This window comes from Homo sapiens, chromosome 1 (genome assembly GCF_000001405.40).
Source record: "Homo sapiens chromosome 1, GRCh38.p14 Primary Assembly".
NCBI lineage: Eukaryota > Metazoa > Chordata > Mammalia > Primates > Hominidae > Homo > Homo sapiens.
Window position 1 is genome coordinate 48,654,091 of NC_000001.11, and position 25,153 is coordinate 48,679,243.

Here is a 25,153-nt window from a genome sequence, read left to right on the forward strand (position 1 = left end):
GCCTTCCGGTCACCAAATTTAGAAAATTTGTCTCCATGACATTTTTCCTACTGCCAGGCAGTCCCCATGTCCTTTTCTTGAATGGAGCAAATCTTCCCCTCTTCTCCATCCCACTGCCTGTCTTCTAACCCAGGCTACCATCACACCAGGCCTGGATAACAGCCACCACCTATGAAATGAGCCCTCATCGCTGAAGCCAGAAGGATCTTCTGGAAGTGTGAATCTGATCCTGTCACTCCCTCTTTGATATCTTTCTGGTGACAGCCTGCATCTACCCATAGAAGAGGGGGTGAGAAAACAAACAACTCTGAGCCATTGTCCCTCTCCTTATCTCCCCCATATTTCTACTCTTTCATCAGAGACCTGAAAAAGAAAATGGGCAAAATGGTGCTCTAGCATTCCATGAAATTACTATAATGCCAGAAAGTGATAGGAGAATGCAAAACCCTCCCACAATGCAGAAGTGGGGCCCCGTTCCTGCTGGAGAGAGCAAGAAAGGCGTCAAAAGGAAGCCTTTGAGCTGAGCCCTGTCAGAAAGGTAGGTTTGATAGATGGCAGGAGGAAGGCAGCAGGGTGACTAAGAACAAGTGCCCAGTGCAGGCACTCAGCTCTTGGAATGATAACTCGCTCCAGAGCACATTCCAGAGCTGCTGTGACCAGTGAGGGACATCTCAGACTTTTCATTAGGCCAGGGCTGAGAATCCATAGGCAGCTGAAAGCCAGTTGGACATCATTTACTTCTCGGCTAACGCGGCAGTAGACCAGATGCCCTAATTTATTTGTTGGTCCTCATATTAAAGCTGCAGTTTGCCAGTAAACAGGCAGGGTAATGATGCCAGGCGCCCTTGTTAGGGGCTAATAATTGCTTAATCTGTCCAGTAATTGACCCCAGCTCCCGGGGCGGCCCTCCATCAAGGAGCCAGCCTGTGCTCAGGGCCTGGCCACACCGCCTCAGAGAATGGCTTCTGGAAATGGAGTAGCTCATTGTGATCCATCCTCCTTCACAGATGAGCAGATTAATTGGGCTGCCAATTAGGCAGCTAATAAAAGAATGAGAGAAAACAAAGGCAGACCAGAGGCTGCAGCTGCCCAGAGCTCCCTCTCCTAGGGTGGGTGTGGGGCAAGGAGAGGGGAGGTTTTAAGACTCATCTGTTGGTTTGAGGTCAGATACAATATAAAATCATTCCCATTCATCAGGAAATAGGGAGATCTTTCTTTTCTTTTCTTTTCTTTTTTTCTTTTTTCTTTGTGGTGAGAGAGGAGTATGGGGAAGACTGAGAGGGCATGTAAGAGTGGAGAGATGATGCCATCCTGGCCAAAGACCAAAAGCACTGGATGGACCAAGAAAAAAGAGGGACCAGGGGAGCAGAAAGTCTCAGGACCTGAGTTTGAATCTTAACTGAGTGTTAGCTACAGAAGTTACTGACTAGCTTTCCCTGACTAGTTTTCTCATCTTGATATAGGGATAGTAATACCTAATCTGGAAGACTGTTGTGTACCTGTATCAGAGATCCTGTGTTAGCTGCCTGACACAGCACCTGAAAGTTGTGGCATGCTTCAATAAACTCACTTAGATCAAAGGTTGAAAGGCAGTGGGTAGTTAAAAACAGGATTAGTTTTAGAAGTAGGTGTCCTAGTCTGTGAAGTTGACTAACAATGAAATTTGGAGACAAGGATACCGAATGGTGGAAGCCAACAAATCAAAACAGAACTTGGGTTCTAGTTTTGGCTTAGTTACGGGGTGACCTGTAGAAAGCCTCTGGGTCTATGCTTATCTTTAAAATTAGGAGAAAGAATTAAATAATTCTCAAGGATACTTCCTACACTGACATTGTATGATTCCATCTATTTTATTCCTCTCCGCCAAAAGTAGAAGAATCATCTGTCAAGTGAGGAGAATAATCTCCCTCCTGCTGGAAGACACCATCAACCTCCTTGAGATCAGCCTTGTTCCTTCTGTAAACAAGTTTGCCAGGTCCTCTTCTTCAAGCTGATTTAACCAGGAAGCTGGAAAAAAGCAGGATGACAGGAAGGCTGGAAGCTGGAGAGGCCAGAAGAGAAGGAAAAGTGGTAGAGGATTTGAAATTAAAGCTGGAAGTTAGAGATCACTGCCCTGTCCCAGCTTCCAACAGACCAGGATGAACCTCTCTAGCCAAACCTCAACTGAGACATATTTATTGCTGATTTTTTTCTCCTACAGTGTTTGGTTTAGGGCTGGGCACATAGTAGGTGCTTATAAACGCCTATTGATGGATTGCTCCAGGAATTCATACAACTTTGACTGTGTGGGATTAGTTGAACTGATCATTGCTCATTCTACAAACATTCATTGGCACACCAAATTCTGGGCATTTCAAAATGCCTAAGATGGTCCTGCCTCAGAGGGGTGCACAGTAAGGAAGCAAGTCCCCACTGGTTGGCAAAGGCTCTGATGGGAACAGCACATAGCTGTGGGGACTCAGCAGGGGCCTGGGGCCCCAGAAGAGATATTGGAAAGGGGACTTAAAAAATGAGTAGAGTGGAGCCAGATGAAAGGGGTGCCAGGATGCAGCCATAAAAAGAATAAAATCACGTCCTTTTCAGCAACATGGATGCAGCTGGAGGCCATTATCCTAAGTGAATTAACACAGAAACAGAAAACCAAATACTGCATGTTCTCACTTATAAGTGGGAGCTACACTTGGGGTGCACACAGACACCAAGAGAACCATAAACCCGGGATTCATAAAGAGGGGCAGGAGGGAAGAGGCAAGGGCTGAAAAGCTACCTATCGGGTACTATGTTCACTACTTGGGTGATGGGATCATTAGAAATCCAAACTTCAGCAACACACTATTTACCCATGTAACAAGCCTGCCCATGTATTCCCTGAATCTAAAATTTAAAATTAAAATAAAAAGAAAGGAGTGCCAGCGGAAGGTATCCAGGCTGGGGTAGGAAGAGATGGTCTGTTGGTAACGGAAAGCCTTTCAATTCCAGGGCCTTGGCTTCATGGTTAAAAGCGCAGACCCTGAAACTGGACAATCTGGGTTTGATGCCTCTCTCTGCCATTCATTTGCTGTGTGGCCTTAACCTCCCAGTTCCCCAGGTTCCTCATCAATTACAAAGGGGAGAATAAGAATTACTTGTGGGTTCTTGTGAGGATTTAAGTGAGTTGATATAAGCAAAGTGGTACACAGTAAGAATATACAAGTATTGTTTTCATCATTGCTCTTCGTTGGCTTGCTGTAGACATGGGAATGGAGAGGTGAACAAGGATTTGCTGTTCCAGCCGAAAAAAACCTGAAGGCAACTATAGAGCTATTGCCAGGTTTTAAGCCTGGGTCAGATATGGGCTTTGGAGAGCTCCATCCGGCTGCAGCGTGGAATGCTGCTAAGAGGAAAGGAATACTGCAGGGCAGGGCCTCCTGAAGGCAGGACAGAGGTGGAGGTAGGGTGCAGGCATAGCAGAGAGAGCTGGCAGAGGTAAAGCAGCTTTCAGTCAGGAACCAGGGTGGAACATGATAGTGACCTGCAGGGGCTCTGCAGCGGCCAAGGTTCAGAGAGTCATGAGGTGCAGTGGGTGGACAGCAAACAGTGTGGATAGAAGGTGGCACCAATGATACAATGATTTGCCTGCAACCCCGAGAGCATCAGAACTCTTTGCTGAAAGCACCCAACCTTGAGGAACATAAATGAGATTAAGTTTCTGGCCCCTGGCAGGATGGGGCCTCAAAATAGAAACTGAATTCAGTTATAGAAAAATAAGAAAGTTACATTTCCTGCACTTCTTTTTTGAGATTGAGGCTTACTTAAACTTACATTGTGGTTTAAGTCTGTCTTCCCTCCAGGCCATGAGCTCCAAGACAGCAGGAAGAGGTCTCCTCTCTTTGCCACTATATTTTTAGTGCCTAGCTCAGTGCTTGGCACAGGGAAAATACTCAAGACCTATGTATGAAGTGAGCAAATAAAGATCGACCCATGACAACTACTGTATATTCATTAGCTGGACTGACTTGTAATTCTATTGGCTCCATTTCACAGACAGGGAAAGAAAGTCAGGGTGTGGCATCGCTTGCTGAGTGCCTCACAAGAACCTAGTTGGGATTCAGACCCAGTTCTGCTGGCTTCAAAGCAGTGCTCTTTCCATGAAGACAAGATGCACAGAGCAAGGAGTCTATCTGCATGTGATTTGTGGAATAATTTGCATATGCCTGCATGATTTTCTCTCTAGAGAATTCTGTGCAAAATTTATTGTTTCTGTTCTCTGTTCAGAGGCAGTCCTCTGTAGTGGGAAGGGCCAAGGTTTGAAGCAAGACAGTTTGAGGTCTCTGCTTGGCCCAGTGTGTGATGTGCACAACAGCAGCCACTCTAGGCCCTTCCTTGACCTGGCACCAGACCCCTGTCTGCCCTCAGCTGAGTCCAAGGGCCTCGAATTATGGACTCACAAGGAGTCTGGCCCTGATGACCTTAAAGTTCACGGAGTATAAGTCCTCACCCTCCTGCCCCCAACTCTGCCCATTTCACAGATGAAGAGACAGAAGTCTAGAAAAGTGAAAGGCCCCGTCACAAACGCTTAGTGGATCTAGCACCACACCTATAGTGGGAAGCTGTTTGGGATAGCGAGAAGAGGAAGAACAGGTGAAGAAGAGAGGTGGGAGGAAAGCAGAATGGGGGAGGAGCAAAGGTCACTACCTCATTGACAGGAAGTATGAAGCTGTGCTTGGTCCCGGTGCCTGGCAATATTGGTGTTTGTGAGAGCATGGTGTGTGCATGTGTGTGTGTGTGTGTGTGTGTGTGTGTATCCACATCCTCCTCCCTCTTCTTACTCCCACAAAATAACCCTGAGGAGTGAACTTCCTGGGAGAGGGCTAGCTCTTTGTCTCCATAGTCTAGGCCCTGATGGGCACCTTGGCATGTAGCAGCAGGGCTCAGGCTGGGAGGCAGGAGACCTCGATCTAGTCCCCACTCCACCACCAACTTACCAGGTGACATCCAGTGAATCCCTGGACTATTCTGAAAAGAAGAGCTGAGAGCTGCCCAGTGACCTGGTGGAATTCCTGTGGAAGAGTGAAGGTGAAGAGGGGATTGTGGGTACTGGTCAGGCACCTACCTGTGCCTGGGGCTGACCCACCATTGACCTACAACTGTCTCATTAAACCCTCACAGCAGCCCCTTGAGGAAGACATTGCTGCCCCCATTTTGCAGGTCAGGAAATAGGGGCTGTGAGAGGCAAGGACTTAGGCAAAGTCCCCTAGCTAGATGGAAATGGTAGGCTCAAACTCAGGCCCATCAAACTCCAAAGCCACAGCTGTGCCCACTGCCCCTGCTGCCCTTCAGAGCATGGCATGGCTCCCCACAGTAGCATTTCATAAGTGCTGGTTTCATTAATTCAATGATAAAGGGTCTGGAGAGGACAAAGTACTCTGCAAATGGAAATTTTCAATGAAAGTTGGCCCCAGAGTCCCAGGAAGAGTCAGTGAAAGAACATACACTTGACCAAGAGTCAGAAACAAGGTCAACAAGGTCTAGGTCTGGTTCAGGCCAAGCTCCTGGCTTGCAAAGTGACCCTCCAGGTGAGCAGAGCTCAGCTAGTGACCCTCTCAGGAAGGCGACGAGGAAGAGCTGGGGCCCACAGTCTGGGAGGCCCACACCTGGGTTTGGTTCACAGTAAGGATTAGAGGAACCAGGTACAAAGTGCCTCATGGAGGCCCTGGCACCGGCCATGTGCTCCATTAGTGCTAGCTCCTCCCCTACTGCTGGCACTTATTTAGTATTTTCTCTATTCCAGACCATCCTAAATGCTCGATGGATATGAACTGTGTCAGTCTTCACAACAACGCTGTGAGGCAGGATTTCTATTATTATTTCCCTTTTGAGATAAAGGAACTGCGGCATAAGGAGATTTTGTGGTTTTCCCAGGGTTACATTGCAGTAAGGGGAGGAGCTGGGATTCATGCTTCGCAGTGTAGCAGCTTGAGGGATGGCGCTCTCACATGGCTGGCCACAGGGCCACACAGGAGCTCCTCTGACCTCTCCCGTAGTCACTGGAGAACAGGATAGTTTGGCCTCACAGAGGTCATGGGCAGGGTTTGGAGTAGCAGAGTAAGCATCCCACCAACAAGCAGAGTCTTGAGGAATCTGAGCCCTGCTACCCTTGCTGCCACCCCTTCCAGAGCTATGTGGTGACAGGACTTCACTCTACTCCCAGCAGCAGGTGCATCAGCAGCTCGGCGGTGAGAACTGTGGTCCCAGCCAGATGGGCACAACCGGCTTCACATGCCTGTTCCCTGCTCAAGGTCACTGAGCCAGTTAATGTGGAAGAGTTAACAGAACTGAAGGTATGTCAGCATCTGTCCACACCTTGGACCTGCCTGCTATCCCCAGAAGAAGGTGGGCTGATGGGGGCTGAGGGAAGATGGACACATTTAGGGCTATGACTGAGGAAGAAACTCCCAGCTGTGCCCTGTGGGGCTGTGATCGGGCTGTCTACATGTAGCTGAGACACCCTTAGAAAAGACCATGCCTCAGTTCTGTATTGGTAAAGTGGGGTAATGATGCCTCTTACACTGCCTCAAGGAAGTATGAATTGTGTGTCTCATGGGGCAGATACAGAGACAAGGAAAGATGAGAAACAGGATTGGGGAGATGGACTCCAGAACCACACTTGTCGTGAATTAGCCGTGTGACTTTGGGTAAGCCATTGTGCTTCCCTGAGGCTCCGCATCCTGATCTGTAAAATGCACATCAATTGTTGTGGGTGATCAGAACTCAGTTCTTTCAGGTATAAGACTTCACCTTCTAGTAGTTCCCATCCCTGAGTGGGACAAGGGAACATGTACAGGCTTGGGAGTTAGCTAGACCTAGGTTAAAAGCCCCACTCCGCTATTTAATGACTGTGTAACCCTGAGGCTCCTCTTTCTGAGTTCAACGCAGCATTTTTTCCTCACAACAGCCCCATAAGATGAACAAGAAACCCCATTTGACAGATGTGGAAAATGACAGTTGGAGACCAGCCCTAGACCTTACACAGCTCGTGGTATAAAGAGGGAAAAACAAATATGAGTCAAGTATATGATAATAAATCAGGGCAATAGAGATGACCGTTATCAATAAAGATGATGGCCATCTTTAGATCCACAATGCAGGCACAAAGCAGGTGGCAGGAGGGAGTGGGCCAGGGAGGCCCACAGTGGGGGCACTCACAATGAGCCCTGTGAGATGGATGGGGCTTGCCAGGTGGCAAGGAGCAGGCACAGGGCCTGCCAGGCAGAGGGAGCAGCAGGTGTAAAGGTGCACTGGTCAAGAGAAGACCGCCCACTCAAGGTTTCAGCTGTGTGGGGCTGAGTGTATGAGGCTGAGGCCAGAGAACCAGGTGAGAGCCAGATGACAGAGGGCTGGGAATGTCATGCCAGGGAGTTGTAGTTTATTTTGAGAAGCCAGCGGGCAGGCATTGAAAGACTCTGTCAAGGAACAGACATTTATTGAAAACCTACAGAACGCCATTGAGTGTATGAACTCAGCACCATCCAAAGATTCCCTTTTAGTAACAGGGTCTTCAGAGAGCACCTGAGATCCATTCAATTCCTCTCTGCCTCAGTCGTTACCTGTGAAATGGGATGGCAACCCTGCTCTCTGTCTACTGCCCACAGGGGAGGTGAGCACAGGGGTTTGGGCTCCCAGAGATGAACATATTGATGGTAAGGCTACTGTCTTTTTACAAACAAGGACAAAGCAGTTACATCCAATCAGCTGGGGGAAGAGATCTGCTGCCAAGTTTAGTAACTGACAGATGGCGCAAGTAAAGGGGTTGGTAAACCCAGGAGGGACCTCAAGAGGTTACTGCAAGGACAATGCTGGGGAGGAAGAAGGCCAAAGTGAGAATGCTAAGGAGTCAGCTATAGTGACTGGAGCCTCAGTCATGCATCATACAAGCTGGTCGGCTTTGGGCAAGTCACTGCCTCCCTGAAACTCCATCTTCTCATCTGAAATAAAGAGGAAGGCAATCGTGCCTAACTAAAGCATTGTAAGAATACGAACTGGGAAAATAAAGCCCATATTTATTTGCACAGTGCTTGATAGTTTACAAAGCAGATTACCTGCTTCATCTTCTCAGATTCCCACGGGGAAGGCGGTAACATCTGTTGAGTGCCTGCTGTGTGCCAGGCACAGGACTGGGTGTGCTGTTTATATTCATCTCATGCCAGCTTCGTAACAGCCTGCCTGGGTAGTATCATTTTACATTTGAGGCAACTGAAGTCACACTGCTGGAAAGTGGCACAGCCAATACTTGACCTCAGGATTGTCTGATTTCAAATCCTCAGAGGCTTCCACTGCAGTGTGCCACCTCCCTTGAGTTATAGAACCTACACAGGCGTTTCATATCTCTTTGACCTCATGGTCACTTTGAGATTAAAATGAGATAAATTACTTAACTTCTCTAAACTTCAGCTTGCTCAACAATATACATATATATTGCTGACTATAGCTGACTAAATGTAGTATGGGTGAAATATGTAATAATAAGTAAAAGTGCAATTATAAACAGAAACACTTGAGAATAAAAATTATGACTTATTTGCCTCTGGTTGTCTGATGCCAAGTGTGCTTACTCTTGGCAGGTATTTCAAAAGTTGTTTAAGTGAATGATTGAATGAATGAGTGAAGAGATAGTTTTCAGTCATTACCTCCCATTTCACAGCTCTTCTGCCAACATACACATTGACCTGGGGCCAGATTTCTTGCTGTTGTAAACCACTGGAGGCAAGTAAAGCTAGGGAGTGTAGATGATTCTGTATGGCTCTTCCTCACCACAGCACATATGAGATAACTTCGTTCAGCCCTCCCTGTTCATTTATCCATCCATCCATCTATCCATTGATTAATTAATTCATACATACGTCTAGTCAATAAACATTTATTGAAATAAAACCTAATGGAGATCAGGTAAAATCTCTTTAAAGAAATGCATTAAATTTCCATTTAAGATAATGGCTCTGCATGTGGCCACACTGTTCCAGAGATCATCACAGTGTCCCAGTTGGATGTGGGTATAGGATACCTATGAGATCCTGCCACTCACCTTGGCACACAAATGATGAGGGTGTTTCCCCTGGGTGGACTCGTCCTGTGATGAATACCACCTTCTGCTCTGCCCCTTCCCGGAGATTGTCTGTAAGATAAAATGAAAGATGGTTGCTAAGGAGGGCAAGAAAAGCTGAGTCTAGTGGTTGGTGTGTGGCAGGGAACCCCAGAGGGAATGGGCTGGATGTTTTACATTTACCTCTTAAACCACTGGGTTAGAATCATTAAGGTCCAGCCATTGCTGACTAATTTAATTATGTCCCTACCCAACAAAAGACTACATTCCCTTTTGTTGGTACAACTGATCATATTATATTAATATGTAGTATTTATAATCATCCAAGGAAGCCATATGAGTGAATTTGAATCCCAAATCCACTGACTGTGACTTTAGGCAACTTGTGTATCCTTTCCAAGTTTCCATTTTCTAATCTATAAACAAGGATGACAATATATCCTTGTTTATAGGTTATAAACAAGGATTTTAATAGGTTTGTTGTGATGATTAAACAGGCTTACACATTGCATAGTACACAGTAAACATTCAGTAAATGATGGAGTAGAGAAGGTAGCTATTTATATATTAGTAATAGTAGCATCTGCCATTTAATTAGCTCCTTTTGTGTCAGGCACATTATACACATACATAATCCTTACAGGAACATGCTGTTAATGTGTTTTTTTAATAGAGGCAGAAGTGAGGCTCATGGAGGTTATATAACTTGTTCAAGGTCACACAGCTGAAAAGTGGTGGTAGGAGCTGAGATTAGATCCCAATCCCTTGTCTGGCCTTCATTTCCCTTTTATCTTAAACAACTAAAAAACTGGACAAAATATTCAAAACAAGTATTTTCAGACATTGAACAAGAGCCAATGCAAGATAATCAATGAGAGAAGGAAAACAAATGAGATATGCCCTATGATTGCCCTGGCTTTTTGCCTGATGATCCTTTCCAGACCAAAGAGCAGAGAGGGGTATCCTGAGCAAAGCAAAGAAGCCTCACTGAGATTCAAGTTCAGCAGGTAGTAGTTGGGTAACTGTGAGCTCCAGAGAGGGGGAAGCACTGTAGAAAAAGAGTTCCAGAAATCTGTACAGGAATCCTCTTGATTCTTTGTTGGATGTGCATACATAGGGTGACTCCCCATGATGTCAGGAAAAAATGATCAAGGAGCTGTGAACTGCACAGTCCTTAGGGTCACACAGGGCTAAGAATCATTTGAATTCCCACAACTAAAGAGGAAGTCCTCACTGATCATCCAAGGAGAATGAGAATTCAGACGGGCAATGTCTTAGTGGTAGGGAAAAACTACTCTAGACCACCACATTCACAAAGCTTTAAAACAAGTCTCAAAAGGATCAAACTGAACAAAAGAAACTTAAATGCTTGATGTACAAAGCCCAACTCTCTTTAAAGGAAGGCAACAAAATCCAGAGAGTCAAAGCAATGTATAATTTGCAATATCCAGCATCCAATAAAAAATGATTAGACATGCAGAAAAGTAGGAAAATGTGGCTCCAAATCAGAACTCAAGCTCTTTTTGTCTCTGCAGAAGTCTAATTTGTATAATAAAGTTGAACTATTGTGCAAAGATATCATCAGACAAAAGCAACAGCCAAGGGTGGCATTCCCAGAAAGAAACATCTGGGGAAGGATACTCAGCAGTGGGCAGACGAAGGGCTGATTGATACAGAGCACAACAATTACCTGAAGGAAATTTAGAAAGAACATTGAGAGAGGTTGAATTGAAGGATTTATCAATGTTTGAGGATGATCTGGAGGGAGAGAATAGAAATAATTAATAGGATTTCTCCTTCTGAAATGCTGGAGACATGCTATTCTGAACGTGGTTCTTTATCCCAACAGTCACTGCACCAATGTCAGAGATGAAACTAAAAATATTAACCCTATTAAACCTGGTTCTAAAGGCTTGGGACTTGCTTGTCCATTGGGATGATCAGTATGGGTGGAGTCACTGCTTCCCCTGAAAGGCAGCAAGAAATATCATGGAACCAAAATATAGTCTTGAGAACTCACTCTGCTCAGCTCTGTGCTAGGCACCTTTAGGAACAAAGGGAGAGACAGAAGGCTCACCTGCCCTGAAGTTTATTATTTAAAGAGGAATTCAACACCTAAGCATTTCCTGGACTGAATATAAGCTCCTCAAGGAAGAAACTGCAACTTCCATGGGTGTATGGCTAATGTCTTTCCCAGGACCCCCTGCATGGAGTAGGTGCTCGAGGACTGGCTATTGAATTAATAAATAAAAATACTTGTGTAGAAGATGGTTTATAAAGAAATATCGACTCATATTATGTTTTTTAATCTTTATCATGCCTCTGTGAGGTGGACAGTATTAACTCCATTTTATGGGTGAGGAACTGAGGCTCACAGAAGGAAGGGACATGCCCAAGGTCATTCAGCTAGCAGTGGTAGAGTTAAGTCCCAGCACCCAGCCAGTGCCCCTTTCACTACCCTGTTTCATTCTGGATCCAGTAAAAACAATATAAGATTCCACTTCTGCTGCATTTCCATTTACAATTTACACAAGAGAATTTCATTTTATCTTATTGTGATGGAAACTGAGCCGCTGTCTTAGTATTTATATTGCTTTTTCACTTAAAAAAAAATCACCAAGCCCTTTTAAAAGACACTGTCTAACACTGACCCCATCTTCCAGCAGTCCAGAAATGATAAATGGCACTAAGGAGGCCCTTGGTGAAGGCTAACTTTATGGATGTCTCCCCTGACCCCGTATCAAGTCAATTGCATTCAGCATTTCTGCTGACCACAGGGAAATGCAAAATGGGCATTCTATTTGCACACTAATTTTACTGAGCCCTTGCGTCTTCATAAAATGATAACATGGGGCTAATAAAAATCAAGCATCTCGGGTGCTAATATAAGCAAATGTTGATGCAGGCAGGTAACAAATTGCTTTGTCATTTAGAAGGCCGTAAAAGAGCATTATAATCATCTTTAGGCAAAATGGATGGGTCGCCTTTGCTTAGCTTTTAGCTTTCATTTGCAAAATCAATTTAAGGTAATGCAGCAGCTCTGAGGTGGTGACTACCCCACCCCCTCCTGTCACCAAATCTCCAGACTCTGTGCAAAGCCAATTAAACATATTCTTGGTGGAGGCAGGACAGATGAAGAAGAAAGTATGCTTGAACCAAGCCAGGGTGGAACAGAATGCAAACAATGAGACCAAGAACAACTCATAAGAGATAGAACAACTAAAGAGCTCATGTAGGCTGACATGCTCAAGGGTACAAGGGCACACTCAAAAAACACTGGGCAGCTACACCTGGCTCCCCAGTTAAACAGCAGGTGTTTGAAGTAACGTGCTTTGTGTGGCATCCTTAGCATGCACGTGCACACACACATACACAGACACACCTTTGTCACTATAACCCTCTATCATCTGCTATTTCCTTAATCATCACATATTTATTGAATACCTATTAGATGGCCAGGCACTAGCTATTATTATTTTCATTTTACAGAAAACCAAGGCCAAGAGAGTTAAGTGACTTGTCCTAGTTCTTACAGCTAATTTGGCAGAGCCAAAGTCCCAAGCCAGATAGCCTGACTCCAGAAACTGTGTTCCTAACCTCTATATTATACTGTCTTCTAGGAAGGAGGACAATATCATCCCATTGCAATAGCAATTAAGTAATATTTATGTAGCACTTATTCTTTGCCAGGCACTTTACATGCATGATCTTATTTAATTCTCAAAGCAACCCAATGAAATATCTACTATTCTTAGACTAGACTCTTTTATAGATTAGAAAATTGAGATCCAGAAAGGTTAAATGACTTGCCTAAACTTGCATAAGTAGCAAATGTGGGAGCCAGAATTAAACACAGGTCTTTATGATTCTCAAATTTGTGCTTTTAACTACTGTGTCATATTGACTTTTGGAGATTAAAATCACCCTATATGGTTTTTAAAAAAACATCGACAAATTCTTTGTTCATTTCCGCCTTTCAAGAGGTGGAGATGTACTCCTCTGTCCTTCAGTGTGGGCTGGACTTAGAGACTTCCTTCTAACAAATGAAATACTATAGAAGTGATGGTGTGCCACTTCTGAGATTAAGGTATAAAAAGACTGGCTTCCATCTTGGGTGTGATATCTCTTTCTTGAATGGCTCACCCTTGGGGAAGCCAATTGCTATGTCATAAAGGCACTCAGCCTATGGAGAAGCCCACATGGTGAGGTACTAAAGTACCCAGATAGCAGCCAGGAGGAACTGAGGTTTGCCAAAGCCATGTGAGTGCATTTGGAAGAGGATCCTGCAGTGTCCAGTGACTATAGCCCTGACTGACAGCCTACTGCAACTTCACAAGAGACCTATGCCAAAACCACCCAGCTAAGCTGTTCCCACATTCTTGACCCACAGAAATGGAGACATAATAAATATTTGCTGTTTCAAGATGCTAAATTCTAGAGTAACTTGTTAGGCAGCAATAGATAATAGACATCTCCCTGAAGATAACTATATTTCTCCTAGTTGCTATGTAGACCTTAAGTAAGTTTGCATCTTATCTATTGATGCTGACTTTCAATGAGGACCAAAGCCATAATCTCGGAGCCAAGATGTGGAGAATCTCAATCTATTTGGCCAGTTATTATGGATCTGTTGCTGGTAGAGGTAGATGCCAAGAGGCCCCAAAGAGCCCTAGGTGGGTCTCTGAGGACAAAAATCTCCCAGAAGTTCATATTGTCAGTTTTGTTTCCCCATTCCTCCAGACAATGACTTGTCATGGGGATTGAGATGCTAATGCGAAGGAAGAAGGAAATGCTACTGGGAGGGGAATGTGGAATGTTATAATGGGGGAAGCATTTGTTGTTGTTGTTGTTGTTGTTGTTGTTGTTGACACCTGAGCCTTTTTTATTTCCTTGACTTGATTGGTGAAGGCATGATAAAGTCAAGAAAATGCCCTACTATGGGTTTCTAAACCAGACAAGTTTCAGCCTTTTCTCCAGTACTCCAGGGCCCAAACAGGTCCATAGTACTCTTAAGCTGGAGAAACAAGACATCGCTGTAGCAACAGCAGCATGGTTGGCTGGTATTAATCAGAGGGCTTGCTCAGGACTGGAACAGCCCTGGCACTGGTCTCCCTGTGCCAGCACCACCCTTTCCAGTGCACCCTCTGCCTGGATACCAAAATGGTCTTTCTAAAATGCAAATAGGAGCATACCACTTCCTCTGCATAAAACCCTTCAGCAGTGCTCTATTGTTTGCAGAGCAAGTCCAGCCCCCTTAGCCTAGACCATACCATCCCTGTCTCTGGTAGCTGGTGGCTGCCTATCTCTCCAGTCCCTTCCACAGGCCCCAGCCCCAGCTAGCACTCCATGGTTCCCAAGACACGACATGTTCTCCCACACCTCCACACTGGGCACATGTTCTGTTTTCTTCCTAGGATGCCAGCCCCCATCTTGGCCGTCTGGCTTACTCCTACTCAGCCTTCAAGACTTGGTTCAGATGCACCTCCTCTAAGAAGGAAAGGAGGAAACTGATGTTCATCCAGGACTTGGACTGGGCCAACCTTGGTGTTAATGTTGCTGTGTTTTATCTGATTTTATCAGCAATGTGAGGATATCACTGTGTTGATGAGACAGACAATAAAGAGGGAATGGATGTTGTGAATTATAGTAAGAACATGGCCATAGTATAGACATTTATTGAGTATAATTTTATGAGAATATATAGGTTTAGGAGATATCAATAGAGCTTTCCTGGAGGCAGCGGAGAAGCACTAAATGCATTTGGGTAGATATGTGACTTGATGAAATTCCAGACATTCAGGGTTAGCTCTGCCTCAGTGTTTGATGGGTGGATCCAACAAGAGGAAAGGGCTAGGTGAGGGACACTGAGGAGGACCGTGTTCCCTGTGTTTCTTCTGTACCCTGAGGGGGTCAAATGAAAAGTCAGCTGACTTCCCTGGGTAGATGGACTGGGTCTCATAACCAGGTTCCACAGAGTATTGACTGTGAGACCTTGGGCCAATTATTTATCCACCTTGAGCCTCAGTTTCCTCACTTATAAGATGAGAATAATAATCTCTAGCTCACAAGACAAACAATAAGCAAGAGACTTTATATCCCTGCCACATGGCTTCACCTATAATAGCAGGTGCCATTTACTGAGTGACAAGCCGTGGAATGGGGTTCCTCAGCATCAACCCTACAGGTATGTTGAGCTGCAGAGCTCTTGGTTCTGCGGGTGCTGAGCTGTGCATTGTAGGATGCCCAGCAGCATCCCTTTCCTCTATCCTCTACATGCCAGTAACACCTCTCCCTCCAGTTATGACAATGAAAAACATCTTCAGACGTTACCAAGTGTCCCATGTCTCCTCAGAGGCAAAATAGCCCCCAGTCAAGAACCACTCTCCTACAAGAATATTATACTTGATTCAAACTGGCCTCATCATTAACTCTCCAAGCAAACCTTCAGTTTCCCAGACTTTATATATATTTTCCTAACTCCTCCCCAAAGCCTCTCCAGATATCTCCAGACCACTGTGTCCTCACCCTCCTCTGAATTCACAGTTCACTGTCTGGACCCTCATCTGGTCATAAATCATTTGCTGCCTTGGTCAAGCAGGACCAAAAGCCACAACTCAGATCCATTCTGCCTGATGCCCAGCATCTGCTCTGCACTTCTGAGCCTCTGGGCCGTCCTGAGAAAATAGTGGTGTTGGCAAGATTTATTTTCAGTTCCCGACTCGTTAGCATCCTCCACACCCCCATTCCCTCCCGTAGGCTCAGATCTCCCATGGCCTAAAATCTCATATCTAAGTAGTAGACTCATTATGCTTCAGGGTTAGGGATCAAATGTTCTGCCCTTGATGAGCTGGAAGAAGAGAACAGGAATTACCTTTGAAAAGAGTATGTACATGACAAAGAAATACTCCTGAAAAAAAATGAAGCATTGATTCTGGAATATCAGGCGCTGGGGACAGGAGCCTTTCTGGTGTACCTCCCTATCTTCACAAATGGTGTCTTAATATGTCTTGGACATATTAAACTGCTCTTTTGTCTTTACAAAGCAGTAAGGGTGCCTCTGACTTACAGGAGACTCACAGAGGCCATCAGAACTGCACAGCCTGTGAGATCACCGAGTTAAACACCCTCACTATGAAGAAGAAGGGCAGAGGACCAGAAAGAACGAGTGACTTGCCCCTGGCCACACAGCTAGAGAGTAGTCCAGGCAGGTAGCAGCCTCCTCTCACTACACTGGGCTGCCTGGGGCAATGGCCATGCAGGCTGGCACCTGGAAAGTAGCCAGTGGATTCCTGCCAGAGAAGTGAAGAAAAGCTGAAAAGTGATGAGATACAGATCTGAGATACAGGCGGCTTGGGCCAACTAAGATGTTGTCACCTTGATGGTCACAGGAGCAGCACTGAGTTCTTCTCCCCAGACAGGCTGCTCTGTGGGCTCTGGCAGTTTCTAAAGCCCCCTTCCTTGCCATAGGGCTGGAACCTAGGCCTGGGAGCAGGTAGGCAGCCTTCCAGGGCAGGCTAATGGCAGGATAGATAAATAGGGGCAGGCTCCTTCCTCAGGCAGGCTCCCTACCCCTATCTATCTTGATCCCAGCACCCTACAAACACCTCCAGAAAGGCAGAGCCAGAGCCACCTACTCAGAATACCTGCTGAAGTTAGGGTTCCTGGGAAACAGACTCAGAGGCTCTGAGATTCCCATACAGGAGCTTTACTGAGATTGCTCTCGGGAAGGCTTGTGAGAGGTACAAATGAAATAGGGTGGGGACAGACTCAACAGGGCCTTTCAACAATTCCACGAGGAGCTCTGGGCCAGGAGGGCCCTGCCTGGTTGTTTGAGGAGGCAAGGGGGCTGGCCCTGTGTCCTGAATCAATAGGATACTGGATATGGCCTGCCATCAGGGAAGGTGTAACCCCAGTCAGGACTGAGTGCAAGTCCCAGGGAGGAACTCAGCTGTGTGCTCTCAGCTACCAATGCTCCTGGGAACTGAGGACTCAATCCTGAAGATCTGAGCAGTGCATGCAGCATCTGTTATGCCAGCCAGGGTTGCTGAGAACAGAGCAGAGGCTCAAGATCTGAGGTTTCAGACAAGAAGGCTGAGGACAAAGGACTTTCTTTTCTGTTAAATTCAGTTCATATTTTCTTACACTGACCACATGCCAAACTTTGGGCTGGTCTCTGAGAAGTCAGACACTGTCCCTGCCATCCAGGAGCTCAACTGCTCTCCTGCAAGAATACTTTATTCAAACTGGCCAGTGGAGGAGAAAGATCAAGACTTGTGGTTATAAATTTGAATTCTAGAATCAGACAGAAGAAGCATTAAATCCAAGTCCTGCCACAGGTACGTATGTGACTTTGAGCTCTAGGATCTTTCATTTTCTCATCTGCAAAATCAGGATAATAATAGTATCAAACTCATAAGGATCTTGTAAGAATTAAATGAGACAATGCTTCAGGTCTATGTATATGACTTGATGCATAGTAAGTGTTCAAAAGGATACTTACAGACACTGAGAGGTGACTTGGTCCAAATGCCTGACCTTACAGATGCAGAAAGTGAGGTCACTAGACAGTAAGCAACAGGAAAGCCACAACTTTGCCTCTTTCACAATTTGTATTCCCAGTGCCTGGCACACATGATGTTCTCAGTAAATACTTGTGAAGTAGTATTTGTTGCCCTTTGGTTGAATGAGTGTACCCAGCTAGAACTGAGTGCCCAGGCTTTCCCCAATGTGCGCTCTGCTTTTTGAATCCACCACTGGCAGACCCCAGAAATTCCTCACCAGGTTTAGTTTCAGGCTTATTAGCAAATGCAAATTGAATTATGAAGTGCCCTTTTGCAACAAGGACAACAAAAACAGTTTCCCTAGGAAAGGAGGGCATGGAGAGGTGAAAGCTGGGATGAAAGTCTAAGACAATACATTCTAATCAAACTTGATAAATATGTAAATTAAAGCAGCTAAACAGTTGGCTTTGACAAATGACTTCTCCGTAATGGATTTTTCCACAGTAAAGGCAAGAGTTCAGCCTGCCTGCTAGTCACAATAAGAGCCCTCTCCTGCTTTCCTGGCAATGCAGGCACATTGGGCAGGCACTGGGATGCTAAGAGGCAGAGTGGGAATGAATCCTTCTTTTAGTAGATGCCATTGGTTGAGCATCAGCTAGCTGCTAGGCATGGCCTTCATTGGCCCTGCAAGAGACATGGGAATCCCTGTCTCATGGATGAGGGAGCCAAGATAAAAGTCAGTAAAGGCTGGATTCACCAGACTCCAAAGCCTGATGTCACTCGAGGAGCCAACACAACCACTTGTCAAGGAACATAAATTCAGCCCCTCCAATGGTTTTATTGTCACCTGAGGGTCTCACCAACTCAAAGTCTTACAGCTGTGTTTCCCCTCCCAGGACCTGGCCCAGTGGAGGTGTTCAGAAAAGATCTGTTCCTTAACTTGCCATGCAGTTCCAGTGGGCCCCTTCCCTATGCCCGCTCTCAACCTGTTTTCCATCCTTAAAACGAGCTGTTGGAGTCATGCCAGCTGAAGGCCCAGACATCACAGAGTAGAAATGTGTGGTCAGATTGCAGATTCTCTGGAAATACATGACAATTGTCATTTTAAGCCACTAAATTGGGGAGTGGAGGAGGTTGTTACGTATTAATAACTAAGAACAATTGTTATGAAATTGATGATGATTCTAATGGGTTACAATACAACAGTCAAGTAAGAGGTGGCTGAAGAGGAACCGTTTTGAGCAGTTACTGTGTACCAGGCACTTTACATACATCAGGATCCAAGTCTTGCCAGGCCCTTTGAAATTTGTATTGTGAGGGCTCAGTACGTTGCCCGGGGCTGCCAGGCTAGTAAGACTCTGAGCTGGAATTTGAACCTTCTCTATCTCAGGAGACTAGTCTTTCTTTTGACATTCCCAAGGGGAAATTTGATTCCCCAGCTATACTAAAGAGATGTTATTCTGTTTGTACTTATGTGCAGGCACCTGCACACATCTGCGTCTGACTGAAACTCCTACAAATACCTGAGGTTTTGTACAAAGTTATTAGAGTTGAGGTGCAAACAGAAATTCAAGTTAAATGGTTTGTAGCCTTGGAAGGACATTATTAATACAATTTCCCCAAGCAGAGAACTGATATATATGAGCACTCCAAGAGCTTCAGGAAAAGTTTCCTTGTAGGCCTGGGAGTAATGTGATCCTGACCCTGAGTGGAAGATCTGTCTTGCCCAATGCTGGAGGAACTCAGATTTGAAGAGTGTTCTTTCTTTCCTATTGAGATCTTCATTGAGTTGTATAAAAATACCACTTTCAATCTCAAATCCCCACTGGCATTTTTATATAAGCACCGAAAATGCTACTGGGCTTTGGAGATTTCACTTAATGAAGGAAAAGTATTTCTATTAAAGAGTGTAATTTTTTTCTCTCTCTCAACATGACATCTTCAGAGGAGCCAGAGAAGCTGAATTGTTCTGGGCTGAGAAAACAAACCAATTGTTCTGGGCTGAGAAAACAAACCAACCCATGCCTTGCCCACGAGTTTGTTAAACAGACTATGGAATGGCGACAGCCAAGGAAGGCAAGGAAGGGTCAGTCATGAGGGAGAAATAAGAGTAATGATTCTGAACCAACTCCCATATGCCCAGGACTATACAGTTTATGAAGCATTCAGGTACTCAACAGGGAGATTACTTCTGTTGCCACTGCCCAAGCTCAACACCGCCCCCATTGCATGTTGTCTGAACAACCACAGAAGCCTCCTGCTGCTTCCTTCCTCCCCTGTAGCCCATTTTCTGGCGGATGGATCTCACTCCCGTACTCCCAGTCCTGCAGCGGCTTCCCCATACACTCGAAGTTAACCCAGGCGGTACTCCCTAGCCCGCTTGTCCCCTGCCCACCTCCCACGCTCGCCTCTTACTGTTGTTTCACCTACTCATCACACCTCCTCACACCTTTCTAGTTTCCTCACACCTCTGTCCAGAGGACGCTCCTGGGTCCTCGGAGCTGGCTCCTTGGGGGCATTAGCTCCATGGCAAAGGGAACTTTGTCTTGTTAATGGCTGTGAATCCCTGCCATACATTCACGCTGGCCGCATATCTACCATGTCAATAAAATACAGCTATCGGTTATTGAGTGATGTCTGCTGGGGAGAATGAGGACCAGAGGAATAAGACTCAAGAGGTGGCTGGGATCAGCAAATTGTCCAAGGTCATATAGCTGGCAAGTGATGAGAGCAGAGTAGACCCAGGTCTGGTTAACGTTAAAGCTGGTGTTCCTTCTCCCTCACCCCAAGCCGTCGTTCACTCACAGAGAGGCCACAGAATGCTGTAGGTGGGCTGGGGGTGTTGGGCGCGTTGGGGCGGGGAGGGGGGGGATGGGTGGGTGAGCATGACCTTAGGTATGGCTGTGCCTGATTTAGAATTCTAGCTCTGCGACTTACTAGCTGTGTTGTCTTGGGAAAGTCACTCAACCTGTGAGTGTCTCAGTCTCCTCATCTGTAAAATGGGAATAATAATATTCATCTTATTGGGTGGCTGTGAGGACTAGATGAATTAAAATAAAGTACTAATAACGGTGCTTGTCACATGGTAAGTCCTCAATTAACTGTGGCTATTATTAGTCATTCTACATGTGTTTCTTGAGCTCCCAGTCACTCCCTCCCCCAGGAAGCCTGCTTCACCCCCAGGCAGTGAGTCACTCTCTGCTCTGTTCCCTCCCAGCCCCTTCTGCTATTATAGCAATTGCCCAGCAGTATAATAGTAATTTGCTTCTCTTTCTGTCCCGCTTTTCCCCTCTGGTGACTCTGAGCTTTTTGGGGGCAGAAGCCCTGTCTTATTCATATCTTCCTGGCACTCATTTTCTTTGTCTCAGACAGAGAAGGGCATTTTGACATGGTTGTTTTGATGTAACGGTTTTGAAATGGCTGCATCTAAATGTAAAATTGGTTTGGAAAATTACTAGGTACTGTGTGAAACAGACCCCCCCGCCACACCCATCGCATGTTGGATCTTCAGTGTCCTTCACTCCCACCAATTCCTTACTGTTCCTGCCATCCTCATCCCCAGCCTTGACCCAGAGCCCACCCTGAGCCCAATCTCTTCCCTCTCTCCCCTCCCTAGACCCCCTTGACAGAAGCGGAGCTCAAGGATGGGGGAAATTCTGGGATGAGAAGAACTAGCCTGAAATGTCTCCATGCCACATTATTTGCTAATGTTTTTTTAAGAAGTTGAAGGTGTGATGGTTTATTTTCTCAGCTGTGTCAAAATGTCCGCATATCAAAATAGGTGAGTCAGAGCAGCCTCATCAACGTGGCTGAAACAAAAGGACAATGTCAAAAAGATATGAAATCTGCATGGGAAGCCACCTGGCATGCAATAGTCCTCAATAATGGATTTTAAAACATCCATCATTGTAAGTGGATTAACAAGCAATCAGCTACACTTAACACCAACTCTCCTGTAGCAATTACTTTTTGTTCCAGTGAGGAGGATTCTACCACCATAAAAATCAGAGGAGTTAAGGATGCTGTCTGATATCACACAGCAGTCACAGAACAGTGACCATTAGAGCTGAGTATGGTCTAATTAATGTCACCATTTACAACCAAGACTCTAAGACAAAAAGTGATTTGACCAAGGTCTCACAGTGAACTGGATTTTTACATGTTAGATCAGAAACATTTGAGCAGTTCTTATATAACTTCTCCACCCTGTGCCCTAAATTCTAGGCCATGCCATCACCAGCGAATGGAATCTTTCTTGAATAAAATAAATTATAAAAATTTAATTCACAGGATATGTTTCCAGAGGGTGTTTTTATAGAATGCCATTATGTGCTCCTCGAAAAAACTCCTAGGATAAACCTGGATTCTTTCTACAAATTCTACCTCAGGTTATACCTGGGGTACATGGAAGTAGAGCTGGACAGACCTGGGTTTGAAGCTGTATGGCCTAGGTAAGTGGCTCCGCCATGGTTTCATCAGAAACTAGGTAAGGAGAGATGTATAAATCACAGTGCTCCACAAAGGTAGCTTTCAGTATTACTGATTTCAGAAACCTTCAGTCCTACCTTCCACCTTCTGGCAGAGCCATTCATTTAGAAAGGCTTGAGTGGGGGGTCTGAAGGTCTGAAGGTGCTGGCAGGTGCTGCAAGTGTGACCTGAGAACCCAGAGGTGAATGAGCATAATGGTAACAAACAGGGACTCAGGCACAAGCGCAGTGACTGCGCTGCTCTCTGAGTGTGTGAGCCCAGGCAAGTTACTTCACTTCTCTGTGCTTCACTCTTCTTGTCCATAGAATGTGGATCATAGCAGACTGTCTCACAGGAACGCCCTCAGGAGGAAATGAGGTTGTATTTGTAAAGCACGTAGAATAGTGCCTGCCACATAGGAAATCTGATATAAATGTTTACTGACTAATAGAAATACCTGATTAAGAACACCCAGTCAGGTGCTCTGCGTCTGCAGAGGGGAATGCTCATCTTGGGCCCTCCCTGGTGAACCATCCTGCAGAAACAGGCTCCTGTGGACAGTTCCTTCACGCTTTCCCCTAGGTATGTGAGGCTAATACACTGGCAAGAAACACGGTTTATTTTCTGTTTCTTAACCCTGGCTGCTTATTAGAACCATGCAGCAGCTTTGTAAAAATACTGATGCCCAGAACACCCCACTGACTGCCCCCACCAAGATTCTAGTTCAGTGTTCTGGGGAAGAACTCCAGCAAACTGTTCTTCTAATTTGCATTGTGGCTGCAAATTGTGCAGCCACAAGGAGAAGAGGACCAGTGGTCTAGTGTGAGCTTGGCCCAGGCTCTCTGCTCCCTGGGTCTCGGTTTCACCATCTGTCATAAGAAGGGGCGGAGCTAGGTGGTCTCTCAGTCCCCTCCAGTTCTAAAACACTTAAGCTCAAGAGGATCAGAAGCCCCAGTAAGTGGCTGGGGCTGGCTCTGATAACACCACTTTGGTCAGAACAACAGGCAAGGGTGTGGGGTGAGTAGACAAGAGAACATGCCTACATCAAGCAAATAATTTTTCTCAGACACAGTCTTTTCCTTGGAACAGGACAAGAAGTACCAATATAATAGACGTGCAGTGTCTCAGGGAACTCACAAAGCTTCCTGCAAGTAGATTGGATTTGTAAGAAAACGTAAGCTGCATGCATGAGGAGAAGGAGAAAGACATTTTTCAAAGGATGAAGGAAGAGGATTAACATATTCGCCACCACAGCAAAGAAGGGGTCCAAATACATGCATGTCAGGGTACAGATCCAGGCTCCTAGGAGGGTAGGAGAAGGGAAAGGAAGGGAAATCTCGGTGGTTGAGCACCTGCTCTGTGCCAGGCGCCAGGGGGCGCATTACTTATATAAGCTCATTGGATCCTGCCAGCCTTGCAGAACGGCTGGCACTCTGATCTCTGTCCTGCAGGCAGGTTAAAGAGCTGTGCCACTGGCCCCAGTCCACATGATGAGCAGCTGCGACGTCAGTCTAACTCCAAAACCCTGCGCTCTTCCCTGACAGCTTGATGCCTCACTTATCCAGAGCTTCCTGTCCTTGTAACGTCACACACCCAGATCACAGCAAAGAGCCAGAAGGAAGCAGAAAAGCCCCTAGAACAGTGCAAGCCAGACACACAGGGACCACAGTCAGGGTCCTGTCAAGCCTCAGGAGAGGCCTCCCAACTTTTTGGGGACACTAGGGTGATGGGGAGATACCTCCGGATTTCTGGAAAGAAGGGGCAAAGCTCATTGTTAGAGAGCTGGTCCACAAACACAGAGGGATGCAGAATGGGAACTGGTAGGCTACTAGGAGACGGGGGCCCTCCCAGGACACAGTTTCTGACTGCCTGACACTACGAACACGTCATCGAAAGGAAGCAGGTGTCAGTTGGCTGTGCTGCCGAAGTACCTCGGGAGCTCTGATGGGGCAGTGACAAGCCCAGCCTGTCTGTCAGGGACAGGGCAGCCTGACAGCGCTAGGATGGTCAGGCCTTCTCAGCACAGCCAGCACCACGGTGGGGTAACTGCACAGCTGCTGGCCACAGCCAGGGGACCTGCCCTCACCCATCCCGCCGCCCCCGCCCTTCTGCCCCACCTTTGCTCTCTCCAGTTGCCTTGTGGATGTCACTCAGCTTCCCCTCAGCTCTTGATTTGAGAGAAGGGCCAGGGATCATGCTTAGGACCAAACTGGCTCCACAGCACCCCTCTCTTTACTTAAGGGACTGAGGGGGAGAACAACACCTGTCAGAAAAATCCCAGTCCCTTCCACTCACACACATCTTGAGAATTTCCCCGGAACCCATGCCCTCTCTTTGCTCAAGGTCAGAGCCCTGACCACAGCCCACAGTGGACTGAGCTGACCCGGGCCAGATTGGGATCTTAGCTGTCTCCCTCCACACATGCCCTCTTTTGGCACATAGTAGGTACCCCATATGTGAATGTTGAAGTGGATGGAGAAGCCCAGCCTGCTCACTTTAAAGCCATGCCTTCAAATAGCACCCAGTGACTAGCTCTTGCGTTTTAATGGTGCAAATGTGGCAATAACAAAGGTGGTAAATGTCTATTTGTCTTCCCATCTTCTAGCAAGGCCATTCTCCAGTTCCTGAGTTCCCCATGGTGTCCTTTCAAAGCCCTTCTCTTTAATGCCAAGTGGAGGAGTTCCAGACAGCAATTTGCATTTTCAATTCTAGAAATCATTAATATTTTAAAGCTGCCAGCACCATGGTTTATTAACACACATTTCCTACCTGCTACTGTTAAAGGGAAACTTTCTGTTTGAGAAAATTTGAACATGGGGTGATTTCCCAACTTTGGTTCAAACTCTGCTCTCAACCCCTGCTCTTAGGACCACATGGTCTAGTGTGGGAGATGGATATGCAAGTTGACAGTGGAATTCTGAGTGCTCACTGAGTTGATTGAGGGAAGCACGGGGTACTGGGGAGCCCAGAGGGAACCCCCTGGCTCAGCCTGAAGGGTGGGCACAGGGTTCTTAGAGGAGGGCTTCTGATTTTAGGGTAACATTTGTACAGATTGTGGAAAGAATGTAAGAGAATCAGAAGGCCTGTGCATAGACACTGGCTTTTG

General features: G+C 46.0%; 1 protein-coding gene across 8 annotated transcripts in view; it reads right to left on the bottom strand.

Annotated features, from left to right (window-relative positions):
* AGBL4 (AGBL carboxypeptidase 4) overlaps positions 1-25,153 on the bottom strand; it is a 1,501,444-nt gene that overhangs the window by 131,580 nt on the left and 1,344,711 nt on the right. For 7 of the 8 annotated variants that reach the window (NR_136623.2, XM_017002595.3, NM_001323575.2 and 4 more), the window contains exon 7: positions 9,062-9,151. Coding sequence is in view for 7 of the 8 variants with exons in the window: in XM_017002595.3 (XP_016858084.1) it covers positions 9,062-9,151 (90 nt within the window). In the remaining variant the exon portion in view is untranslated. Of the gene's footprint in view, positions 1-4,964; positions 5,040-9,061; positions 9,152-25,153 lie in introns of all 8 variants that reach the window. The other variant, XM_011542308.3, reaches the window with a different exon arrangement.